Source organism: Homo sapiens, chromosome 6 (genome assembly GCF_000001405.40).
Source record: "Homo sapiens chromosome 6, GRCh38.p14 Primary Assembly".
Lineage (NCBI taxonomy): Eukaryota > Metazoa > Chordata > Mammalia > Primates > Hominidae > Homo > Homo sapiens.
In genome coordinates this window covers 131,885,089-131,898,234 of record NC_000006.12, presented here as the reverse complement: position 1 = coordinate 131,898,234, position 13,146 = coordinate 131,885,089, and the positions used below count along the sequence as shown (strand labels likewise).

General features: G+C 39.8%; 1 protein-coding gene across 1 annotated transcript in view, besides 2 other annotated features; it reads right to left on the bottom strand.

The window, feature by feature from the left end:
* Positions 2,866-3,010: an enhancer, noted in NCBI's record as "145 bp enhancer 74 fragment used in the MPRA reporter construct; PK_construct_1823". NCBI's record gives its function as "activates an SV40 promoter by MPRA in HepG2 cells {active_cell/tissue: HepG2}" and the evidence as "EXISTENCE:reporter gene assay evidence [ECO:0000049][PMID:23512712]".
* Positions 2,931-2,944: a transcriptional cis regulatory region, noted in NCBI's record as "HNF4 motif; enhancer activity is reduced when this motif is scrambled". NCBI's record gives its function as "necessary for full MPRA enhancer 74 activity {active_cell/tissue: HepG2}" and the evidence as "EXISTENCE:site-directed mutagenesis evidence [ECO:0005528][PMID:23512712]".
* The window catches only part of ENPP1 (ectonucleotide pyrophosphatase/phosphodiesterase 1), an 87,136-nt gene continuing 77,069 nt past the window's right edge, over positions 3,080-13,146 (bottom strand). The window contains exons 24-25 of the mRNA NM_006208.3: positions 11,511-11,673; positions 3,080-7,894 (exon numbers count right to left, since the gene is read on the bottom strand). Coding sequence (NP_006199.2) covers positions 7,724-7,894; positions 11,511-11,673 — 334 coding nt within the window. The 3' untranslated portion in view covers positions 3,080-7,723. The remainder of the gene's footprint in view (positions 7,895-11,510; positions 11,674-13,146) is intronic.

The following is a 13,146-nucleotide window of genomic DNA, read 5'->3' as shown; positions in this document are numbered from 1 at the left end:
TTGCTTCTAGCCTCACAGGCTGGCTGTCTTCACTCAATCCAGTGAAGCAAATTTGTGACTTCCTCAATTGTCTCTATAGATAATGTCACTATTGTAGAACCTAAGATTGATATTTTGATACATTTTTCTGATTTTTGCATTCTGGCAATTGACTTCACCTGGACCCATGACTCATGACTTAACCAATCCTGTGGTCTCCCACTCAGAGGTGGACTCAATGCATGAGGACTGTTTTCACACCCCTATAATTGCCTCCCCAACCAATCAGCAGTACCCATTCCCCAGTCCCATGCCTACTAAGCTATCCTTGAAAAACCCTAACCTCTGAGCCATGTAGCTAGATTAACATTAACTAAATGCTTTCTTTACTACAATGTCACAATCTCAGTGAATTGGTTTTGTCTAGTCAGTGGGCAGGAAGAACCCATCAGGTGATTACACTTGTGAAACAGCACACTTGGGACACATAAATCTCATCAGGGTTACAGTTTTCAGGAATATGCTCAAAGTATACAGTCTAAGCAAATGTAACTGATGTTAACCTAAAAGAAAAAACTGAAGGAAACTTAATATAAGCAGAGTTTATTTGGGCCAGTTTTGAGAATTGTAACCCAGAGGGATGGATTCAAGTTTGCCCTGAATGTGTGCTCCAATTAGCAGCAGTTACAAGTGAGTTTTTAAAGGAAAAAAGAGGCAGTTCCTAAATTGTTTACCAAGAAGTTACATCAACGTAACATAAGCTTGCTATACATTGTTACAACATAACTTGCTATACATTGTTCTTTGCATCACAAACTCCAGGCATGTGAGGATAATGAGTGAGGCAGCTAATAAGGAATGAAATGACTTTAAACAACTGCCCCTAGGCATGGCGGGAGGTGGGTGGTAAGAATAAAGTCTCACACTCACATCTCTCTGGGCCTAATAAATTCTACATGCCTCACACAGCTCAGGCTGCCCTGAGCTATTTTTCTTTTCTTACAGGATCACAGGCTGGGAAATGTTTAGGTGGCGCAGCTTCTCTGGGCTTCCCAGTTTCCTTAAGAGGTTGGTGTTCTCTGTAGGATAAGATCCCGCCAGGTCCCTGGAAACCCCAAGTGGAAGCTAACAATCCTCTTATACCTATAACCACACCACTTTGAAATTATTTTATTTCGTGTTAAGCTTGCAAAGACTGCTTTTAGCAAGTTGTGTATTTGGATTTGGAGTCTGGGTCCTGGGTAAAATTTCTTAATAGGCCACGGTGCCATCTACCAACACTGTGTATGGGTTATGGAATAATCAACTGCATTACACATCTGTAGTTGTATTGCAACCATAATACATAACAAGAACTAGACTGAGGGCATGTACTGTCTGTTACCACCAATGTTGGGAAAGTCTGACCACATAAACAATGGATCCTAAGGATATGGCTTTGGGCTGGACCTTGAAATAAAGGTAAAACATTGACAAGAGAGCACCAAGGGGGCAGGCATTCCACCTGCCCTGTTCTCCAACTTACCCCTAATGCCTGACACAGAGTAAGCTCAGCTTTGAAATCTACTGTCAACCCTGAGCTGGGAAAATCTATTCCAGTGCCAATATCTTAAAGTGTGCTGTTGAGTAAACCTGTAGAGATAGCTTATGAACAAGTACACAGACAAAAGACCCATAGATTTACCATCTTGTTTCTGTTTGGACCTTAGTACAAGTGGTTAACTCTCCAGACAGTAACATTGTGTCAAGATATAGAATATAACAGAGAATCCAAAATTGTAGGTGTCATAAGAATTTTTTTTTTTTTTTTTTTTTTTTTTTTTTTTTGCGATGGAGTCTTGCTCTGTCACCCAGGCTGGAGTGCAGTGGCGCCATCTCGGCTCAGTGCAAGCTCCGCCTCCCGGGTTCATGCCATTCTCCTGCCTCAGCCTCCCGAGCAGCTGGGACTACAGGCACCTGCCACCACGCCTGGCTAATTTTGTGTGTGTGTGTGTGTGTGTGTGTGTGTGTGTGTGTGTGTGTGTGTGTTTAGTAGAGATGGGGTTTCACCATATTAGCCAGGATGGTCTTGATCTCCTGACCTCGTGATCCACCCGCCTTGGCCTCCCAAAGTGCTGGGATTACAGGCGTGAGCCACCGTGCCCAGCCAGTGATTTTTTAAACTATAAAAATTTGAACAAGATCCATTCATTGGACTGAGAAAATTTCAGTCTAATTTAAAATCCTTTAGAATTTTTAGTTAAGTTATAAACTTTCGGTTCAGAGATCCCTGTTTTATTTCCTTTATGTCACAGCCAGCATAATGCCATCTAAGTAAATGCATACATTTTTTAACAGTGAAAAATATCTAAACATTGTGGGGCAAAATTATGAGACACTGTATGAGACACTGTAAAAAATTTATTTCCTATATATTTCTTCAATTATTTTGTATCTCTACTATGTGAAAGCCAAAGTATATTCCATTCTGAGTTCTGAATTTCTGATATATCATTTAAAATGTCATTTTAATTAAAATCCTAAAACTATCCCTTGAATCGAGAAGTTACAGGCAAGTAAAAAGTTAAATTTAAAACAACAGCATTGAGTAGGATGAAAGAGGCTTCTTTTATATTCCTTCCTTTTGACATCCCATGAGTATAATGCCTCTTCCAAGGATTCTTCCATTTCTAGTAGATTAAAATGTATTTCACATATCTGTTTTCTGGTATGAATATGATTTCTAGTAAACATTTTTTTGTTCAATCACTATAATGGAGAGGATAAATACAAAAATTTCACATTAAAAGAATCTATAGAAGTTCCAAGTCTGGTTCCAGACCATTCTAAATACTAAAGAATATATATGCCTGTCATTTGTTTTTACCTGGAAGTATGACTAAATATAATTAAAATACCAAGAACAAGGATATAGGTCACAGATCAGAAGTGTTTACTCTATGAACCTGAAATGAACTTTGGATTCTTTTGCCTTTCAGCATTACAGCTGTGGTTAACTGTCAACAACCCTCGGACTCAGTTTCATGTCTGCAGAGAAGCACCATCGCCCATGATCCTACCCATCCTCCACACACAAAGCCACAAAGGAAAGCAGCCAGAGTTCTGTACGTATGTTTTATTTGAACATCCACATTTCTTAGCTTAGAGACAATTATATTCCGTACACTTTTCTTCTCTCTCTCTTACAATATTTAGACTGGCCAAAAACCAGGGAAAATGTCCTTGGACTGCAGTCATTATAAAATTTTACTTAATGCTTATGAAAGCACTCATGTGAAAAGCTTCAGCATGAAGTGTAATCACCACATTCAGTTTCAAAGTTCAAATGCCCATTCCTATGATGGGTAAACACCTACCATAGCGCAAAGAAGGAGAGTGATTGTGGGTAATGACAGAGGAGGAAAAGTGAAGGGGGTAACAGCTTCTCCCAGAGGAGGGGGTGGTCCCTGTTCCATGCCCATCTTGTCTCCTTAAACAGGAACAGCCAACAGGCCTACCAGTCCTTGTACTCTATGCAGCTACTTCCCCTGCTGGAAATGAGCAGCTGCCTTCTTCTCCCTAAGGTTTGTCCTCTTTTATCTGATTCTTGGAAACGTTTTTTTAAGTTTTGCCAGGTTCTTTGTTCTTTCATGAATGAACTGATGGAAATTTTCTATGGAAGTTACTTACCTCACTTAAGAAGCACACAGCAGCTCTCGCCTATAATCCTAGCACTTTGGGAGGCCAAGGCGGGGGGATTGTCTGAGCTCAGGAGATCAAGACCAGCCTGAGCAACACAGTGAAACCCCATCTCCACTAAAATACAAAAAGCCAGGTGTGGCATGCGCCTATAATCCCAGCTACTCAGGAGGCTGAGGCAGGAGAATTGCTAGAACCCCGGAGGTGGAGGTTGCAGTGAGCCGAGATCATGCCACTGCAGTCTAGCCTGGGCCACAGAGCGAGACTCTGTCTCAAAAAAAAAAAAAAGGACTGATGTGAGGCATGACAGTAGAAATCAGGATAGGCTGGAGGCAGTGGCTCGAGCCTGTAATCCCAGCACTTTGGGAGGCCGAGGCGGGCAGATCACAAGGTCAGGAGATCGAGACCATCCTGGCTAACACGGTGAAACTCCATTCTCTACTAAAAATACAAAAAATTAGCCAGGCGTGACGGCAGGTGCCTGTAGTCCCAGTTACTCGGGAGGCTGAGCCAGGAGAATGGCGTGAACCTGGGAGGCGGAGCTTGCAGTGAGCCAAGATCTTGCCACTGCACTCCAGCCTGGGTGACAGAGCATCTCAAAAAAAAAAAAAAAAAAAAAAAAAAAAAAGAAATCAAGATAAATAAAGGTTTCACTTTGCATTTGAAAAGCTAAGAACAGCCTTTATTGGAGAAAGTAGGATAAAGACATTTCCATATATGTTCATGGGAATTTACCATTCAAATTTACCATTCAAACTGGGGGAGTAGAGATCAGTCACTTTTGCCATCTTATCTGTTTAAAACTCTTTCAAGAAAAGAAAAGAAAGGAGGAGTCTCTTTCAAGAAAAGAAAAAAAGGAATACTGTGTAAGAACCACAGAAAAAAAGCTAAGTAGGAGCAGATGTGGGTGCTCTTTCCTTAACAGTCAGCATAGAATGTAGAGACTGACATTTTCTTTAAGAACAGATTATTATAACTAAGCAAGAAAAAGTATGTGTACATAAGTTGGTCACAGTGACACTTGTAGAAAATATAAGTAGCTGTAAATGGGAAAATGTCAAAAATGTTCCATCCAAGGAATGTTAGAAGGTCCCTTCTTTGCCTTGCTCATCTGAAAAGTTCCAATTCACCCTACAAGCCTTAGCCCCAAGGCTGGGAAGCCACTGCCTCTACTACCAAGAAGCATCCAGTGTCTCTTTTGTGCAGCCTGGCACCCCTCCTGTGGCTTCATGATAACATCTATCACTCTTTAGGGATCATTTACACTTCTGCTGTCTCTTCTCCCTAAGACAGAGAAAATTGTCACTTGTTCTTTTTTGTATTCTTGGCGTCCAGCAAAGGGAACAGACATCTATCCATTTAATTAAGCTCTGCTAAGATGCTTTGAGTTAAATTGTGTATGTTTGTGTGCTGGAAAAATATGTAAAAATCAGTGAGACACTTCTACAAAGGCAGAGTAGACATCCTTCTGCTAAATGCATATAAAAATCCTGGATATTATATTAAAACACAGCAAGACTCTGAATAGTAGACAGAAAATAGGCTAGGAACATTGGGGCCCAAGTAACAACACTGTGATGAGTTCCCTACATTTTCTTTTCAGCTCATATATTTCCAACTTGGAGCTGAAAAAGTCAGCAACCTGGAAATGTCAATAAATGCAGGGGAAAAAAAAGCCCTAAGAGAGTCCTGCTCTCTCCTGCCAAAGGACCAGAAAAGGGTAGCCAAGCAAGGGTAAAAAAGGCTGTACTCCAACCAAACACCATGGAAAAACACCATGGCCCCACCCATACCAGCAAATGCTGAGTGGGGAGTCCAGACTTACACTCTCACCAAGCTGTAAAGAGGTGCCCCAACTCCCTGACTTTTGTATTCTTGGTATCCAGCAAAGGGAACAGGCATCTATCCATTTAATTAAGCTCTGCTAAGATGCTTTGAGTTAAATTGTGTATGTTTGTGTGCTGGAAGAATACAACTCCAGAGTGGTGTCGGAGAAGGCTGTGTAGGCTACTGGGAATTTCATTCCCACCTGGTGTAATGAAGCTCTTCCTGGTCACTCTGTCCCATAGCATTAGTGGAGATTCCCAGGGTGCACCAAAAGGTGCCGCTGCACATTCCAGCCAGGGAAGAATCAATAAAGACCTAATGGGAAACTGAATTCTCACCTTGCCCAGTAGTAATGAGGGGACCCTGTTACTCAGTATAAAGGGAGGCTGACTGGGGAACCTGGACTCCTAGCCACACCTGGTAATAATGAAGCAGTGCTCCCAATTCCCCTGCTGTGGTGGTATCTGAGAAAGTTGGCTAAAGCAGAAGGTTTAAATAAGACCCATAGTCTCATAACATAATACCTAAAAATATCCAGGTTTCAATAAAAAATCATTCCACACACCAAGAAACAGGAAAATGTTTCCGAATGGAAAAAAGACCATCAGTAGATGCAAACAATGAGGTGACAGATGTTGGAATTATCTGATAAGGATTTTACAGCAGCCATCATAAAAATTCTTCAACAAGCAAGTATAAATGCACTTGAAACAAATGAAAACGTAGAAAGTCTCAGCAAAGAGACAGAAATTCTCAGCAAATAGAAGATATAAAGAAAAACTGAATGGAAATTTTAGAAATAAAACATACAATAACTAAAATATAAAAATCAGGAATAAATGGGCTCAACAGCAGAACAGATTAGACAGAATAAAGAATCAGTGAGCTTCGAGACAGAAGAATAAAATTACCTAATCTGAACAACAGAGAGAAGCAGGCTGAAAAAAATATCATATACAGAGCTTCAGGAAACTGCAGGACTGAAAAAAAAAAAAAAAAAAAGCAACTTCCTAAATTATTAAATAATTTTGAGTTGTAAATTGTATTTTCCAAAAGTCTTTGCAGCTGGCCCTTAGGCCGTTGAAGAATGGTCACACGAAGGACATATAAAAATCTTTGGTGTACTGATATTATACCTCAATTGGACCTATGTAGCCTAAAAGTTAATGCAGTCTTTGAAGGTTCACAGGTAGGGATAAAAAGCTACAGTCAAGGTAGTAAAGAAATCAAGTTCATTGTGTCATTTATCATGTCCACCAAGAAGATGTGAGGTGATTGGTGGCATGTTCTCTTCAATCTGTGGAACTTCAAAATGAACCACTCAACAGAGAATGGCTCTGCTGCTGGTAGGGTAAGTCTTGTGCACAGAAAGAAACATTCTAAGCATCTCAATAAAAAATGGCACCTTGCATGCACTGACTGGTGCTCTGAAGTTTTGCCAAGATAAGGTACAATTTTAACCGTCTATAGGGCCACATTTGAAGCCATTTTAAACCTATGTTAATTACCAGTGAGCAGGATAGGAATATTTTTCTTTTTTAAATACAAATACAAAGTAAGATTTTATAATAGGTAAGTATATTCAAAGATCGTCCCTCAAAGTTGAACTCATTTGAACCATTAAATCTAAAGAAATCCAATCAAAAAATTAAAAAGAAAACACATAAGATTAATAACTTGGATTTTGAGGGGATATACAGCAAAGATTGAAACAAGGTCTCAGAAGTATTTTGGCTTCTGTTAATTTTTTTTTTGATTACAATGAAAAGAAATGAAACTCCAAGTTAAAAGATATCCAGAACCACTTTAAAATTCTCATAAAGATAGTCACATAACATGGGCTACCCCAACCCTACTATAAGTCTACTGTTTGCCCAATGCCATCAAGGTTTATTACCAATAGTAAGAAAGATTCAAATATCTGGTATCCAGACAATGTTCACAGCTACTTCTCCTTTAAGAGAAGCAGAAAGGCAGTTTTAGGTGTGGTCTGTCTTTATTCCCCCGAACTTGATCAATGTATACAATGCTTACACATTCAAATATGTGCAAGATTCAACAGGAACACTCTCCACTGCTGTGCTGAGTACGCAAGTTTCCCTGAGATGTCCGCATCACCGAGGGCTCCGTTCTAACTCTGGTCGACAGTTTCTGAACAATGCAATAGTGTAGCTAGAGGACTATATAAAATATAAGGTTCTCTCAAAAAGATTCATGGTGTTTGGGGATAAAAAACATATCAGTCTTCTTGGCTAAAGGTTGGCAAATGTGTTTTCAACTTTAAAATGTCTGAAACTGGCTCTTTTCTTTGTTGATAGAAGCTGAGTCCAGTGATGTGCTCAACATCTGTGATCCGTGCTCTGTGTAACATTAACAATTCTTCAACCCATGAGGAGTCATGCTTCCCATGCTAGGAGAATAGGAAATATAAAAGAAAAGTTACCAAGAGAACACTCAGTTCACTTCTATAAGTGCTCCATCTCCCCAGTTTAATCATTTACGAGATTTCAGCTCTGAAGTGGAACGTGCCACATGATTTGTTAGGCATCATCTCTCCTCTTGAGTAGCTTTCCTTCTAATACATACCATGCATGTTTGTTTAATTAGATGCTTCAAGTTTGGGGAAAAGAAACTATACCTGGAACAGATGGTCCTGCATTACATAGGTTTAAGAAACTTCAATGGCGTGGGGTTAAAAAAAGGGGGAAAACAGAAATTACATGGCATGGGAAAGAATATCTGAATAATGTAAAGAATCACTCAGAATGCCTATTATTAAAAAGTCAAAAAACAACAGACGCTAGCTAGTAAGGTTGTGGAGAAAAAGGAATGCTTTTACACTGTTGGTGGGAGTGTAAATTAGTGCAACCACTGTGGAAGACAGTGTGGCAATTCCTCAAAGACCTAGAGGCAGAAATACCACTGGACCCAGCAATCCCATTACTGGGTACATACCCACAGGAATATAAATCATTCTATTATACAGATACACGCACGCATATGTTCAGTGCAGCACTATTCACAATAGGAGAGACATGGAATCAACTTAAGTGCCCAACAATGATAGACTGGATCAAGAAAATGTGGTACATACACACCATGGAATACTATGGTGTATATGGTCAATGATAGACTAAATTAAGAAAATGTGGTACATGTATACCATGGAATACTATGCAGCCATAAAAGATCATGTCCTGTGCAGGGACATGGATGGAGCTGGAGGCCATTATCCTTAGCAAACTAATGCAGAAACAGAAAATCGAAACCTCATGTTCTCAATTATAAGAGGGAGCTGAAGGATGAGAACACATAAACACGTGTGGGGGAAGAAAATACACTGGGGCCTGTTGGAGGGCAGGGGGTGGGAGGAGGGAGAGCATCAGAAAGAATAGCTAATGGATGCTGGGCTTAATACCTGGGTGACGGGATGATCTGTGCAGCAAACCACCATGGCACACATTTACCTATGCAACAAACCTGCACATCCTGCACATGTACCCCTGAACTTAAAAGTTGAAAATTTTTTTAAAAGAGGCTGGTTCTGTGACAATCGTATCAGGTAAACTAAGGAAAGTTATTTAACATATAAGTCTTGATTCCTTTATCTGTATCCTCCTCATCGGGTTATTTTGAGGATCAAACGTAATGATGTGTGCAAATGTACTACACAAATACTAGTTTTTATGAGAATGTGTTACCTACAAAGATGCATGAAGAAGCCCACGTGGGCCAAAGCCACATGCTAAGAATGGTGGAGCAGAAAGAGGGAAAAGTTCTGGGTCCCTAATGGTGCAGTTGACCCAAAGCGCCATCCCAGGACTGTGTGCAGCTGGACTTGCTGTTCCATGAGGAATCCCTGACTTGCTTAAGCCACTGCAAAGGGGTTTCTGTTATTTGCTGCAGAACCCTACTCTAATTGATACATTCAATGACAATATAATCTCTCAAACGAAATAATGAAGCAGGGAATAGCTGCATGTTTCCAACAATGCCCACAAAACTGACAACTTTCAGTGGAGTCAGATAATCATCAGGCAACCAACTAAAATCTTGCTATTCTGTATTTAATTCTAAAGAATAAAGGGAAAAATAATGAGAAATGTGTTCTATAGGAACAAGTAATTCTGAAAGTTTATCATAGAAACAATTAAGGAGAGACATATCTTCATGAATTTTAACGATATATAGAAAGACTACTACCATCAGGGATGGCAAACGGATCATTGTATTCTACTCTTGGGCCCAGAGAAGAGCTCACTATTTTGTTCACTGCTGTGTCCTCAGTACCTAGAGCACCTGATTATAAATATCAAAGGAATGAATGGTGAATCAAAGTAGTAGTGAATGAATGAGTGGATACAGCACTCTTTCCTGCTGAGCTCATACTGGGTCTCAAGATCCTAACTCCAGGTACCTACCACCCATTCATTGGGACTGGTATGAAAGCTACATCTTTTTGCAGATTCAGGTTTAGACTTACTTGGTGTCACTTCAATGAAAAAAAAAAAAAAAGGAAATGTAGGAAGTACTCTGAAAGAAATATATTTTGGCTCACCATAAGAGAAAACTTAAAAATTGCTAAAATGGGCCGGGCACAGTGGCTCATGACTGTAACCCCCGCACTTTGGGAGGCTAAGGCCAGCAGATCACCTGAGGTCAGGAGGTAGAGAACAGCCTGGCCAACACGGCGAAACCCCATCTCCACTAAAAATACAAAAATTAGCTGGGCATGGGTGGCAGGTGCCTGTAATCCCAGCTATTCGGGAGGCTGAGGCAGGAGAATCGCTTGAGCCCGGGAAGCGGAGGTTGCAGGGAGCCGAGATCACGCCACTGCCTTCCAGCCTGGGTGACAGAGCAAGACTCCAAAAAAAAAAAAAAAAAAAGGCCAGGCACGGTGGCTCACGCCTGTAATCCCAGCATTTTGGAAGGACAAGGCGGGTGGATCACAAGGTCAGGAGATTGAGACCATCCTGGCTAACACGGTGAAACCCCATCTCTACTAAAAAAAAAAAAAAAAAAAAATTAGCCGGGTGTGGTGGCGGGCGCCTGTAGTCCCAGCTACTCGGGAGGCTGAGGCAGGAGAATGGCGTGAGCCCAGAAGGCGGAGCTTGCAGTGAGCCGAGATCATGCCACTGCACTCCAGCCTGGAAGCCAAAGTGAGACTCTGTCTCAAAAAAAAAAAAAAAAATTAGCTGGGTGTGGTGGCGGGCGCCTGTAGTCCCAGCTACTCGGGAGGCTGAGGCAGGAGAATGGTGTGAACCCAGAAGGCGGAGCTTGCGGTGAGCCGAGATCATGCCACTGCACTCCAGCCTGGGAGCCAAAGTGAGACTCTGTCTCAAAAAAAAAAAAAAAATTGCTAAAATGTTATGCAGTCTTGATGTCCCAATCTACAATGTAGATTTTTAAAATTCTGAGCAAATAAGATAATATAAAACAATTATTCCCAAACACACTGGGATGACAATACGATAAGAAAGGAAAAGATTTTTTATAATTAAGTGATACACAGAAAATTTGAAATGTTGTCTAACAACTTTAATTTATAACAGTGCTGACACTTTGAAATTATACATCCAGTTTTAAAAAAAGAGAAAATCCATACCTCAGATAAACCTAGACTTTAGTGGTTAAGCCATACAAAGTTTGATTCTGATCTGATTTTTAGTATCTTTACCAGACAAAGGGGCCAGGCAGGGTGGCTCACACCTGCAATCTCAGCACTTTGGGAGGCCAAGACAGGAGGATCATAAGAGGCCAGGAGTTCAAGACCAGCCTGGGCAACATAGAAAGACCCTATCTCTAAAAAAAAAAAAAAAAAAAAGAAAAAAGTAAAAGCAGACAAGGGTAGTCTTCCCCAAAGATATGTCATCTTAAAAGATCAAATTTAAAAGCATCCTATAATTTCGAAGTCCATGTGTACTCAGTTGTGCTTTCTCTCACTGTAATGTCAGATGGGTGACATAAACAAATATGCATATGTCTAGATTTTCAACATGCAAAGTAAATATACAAAAGCTACTTACCACACAGCTCTCGCTGTTATCAGTCCTGTGAGGCAAAATGAAAGCTAAGGTGTCTAGGTTTTCACAGTGCAAAGGCGTCTGAGATGTATCTTTACAGCTTGTTAGCACAATAAAGAAGTGAGTTGGAATCAAAATTTCTTGGTTACGGATGACTCTTCTTTTTCTGTAAAACATGCCAATATTCATTTTAAGAAAGAAATAACTATCTTCCTTTTGATGAATATTTCAGTAGAGCATGCTTTTAATACATATAAAAATCAAATTCAAACAAATAATTAAATATAAGAAGCTAGTAATCACAATACCTCAACATACTCTGCCAGATTGAGAGCAATAATTAGAAGACAGGCAGATAAACACACTCCAAATAATTTTTATTTTCTGTAGAAGTTTATTGACTTTTAGAATTCTTTTAGTTCTACCTAAAGACATTGAAATTGAAACACTAAAGAAAAGAAAATGTCATTTTTGAACACCTATGACCAAGAGTGTAAACCATTATTGATAGTCTTAACTTCTAGGCGATTATAGACAAATAGTGGGCAGAGAAAGAACTGGTTAGGAATTTTCTATTCCAGCCCCTTCAGAGAGGACATGTTGTCATGAATTGTTTGTTCTAACTGGATTTTCTTCCTTAATAACTTAATTTTTTAAACTGAAGTATATTATCAAAGATGTCCCAAACATCTTTACCTCATAGTCATTCTCCTATTTTAAGGCTGTGTTTGTTTTTTCAACATCTTTCAAAATTTAAGGCAGTGGAATCATTGTTTTCAAATATGACCTTATGTAGAAACATAATCTATAAAACAGATTTAAACAGAGGGCTCTGGGTGAAGCCGTGGGTAGGAAGCATATGCAGTTCTCTTCTGTATCCTCTCCAGTGCTACAGCTTCTAAGGCAGCTTTATGCCTCAAGGGAAAGTAAAAAACTGTAACTTTGCAAATTGATGTGCTTTCTGATGTATTTTGTAAGTCACATATATCTAAGTCAGCCTGGGAGAGTAGGAAAGTTCTGAGAGGGGCTGAATCTCAGTGGAATCTCAGTCTTTTTCCTACGGACTTAACAGCAAAATTGCTTCCCAAACTGCTGTAATTATTGTTTCAATAAAGATCAACCAGTTTCCAAGATGTTCTTTCCCTCTCTTTTTTAAAAAAGCACCACTGATGGTTTCCTTCAGACGGTTGCTTTTTATCATGCCCCTCCAGCCACAGTTGGGTAAAAGCCATAACATTCACCCAAGGCCACCAGACTCCAAGCACTGCAGCTTTATAACCCTATTCATTCCTAGACTCAGGATATCTGTAGCCACACCATAGAGTTCTTCATCTTCTGACTCACAATATATTAAGATCATATCTTAACAATCAGCCACACAGAGATCTTAAATGAGTTCAGCATTTAAACTGAGTGCAAAAATTATTCAACTGAACTGAATGGGTGAGAAACACTACTTTTTTACCTAAAAATATTTTACTGAACATTGAGCAAAACATCAAAATTAATCAGATATTTCAAGAGGCTTCCTGTGTAGTCAGAAGTGTCATACACATAAACATACGACACTGGATAAAAAAGGTTCTGTTGACTCAACTGGATGGTAATCCCATTTCTACTGGATGGTAATTCCTATTTT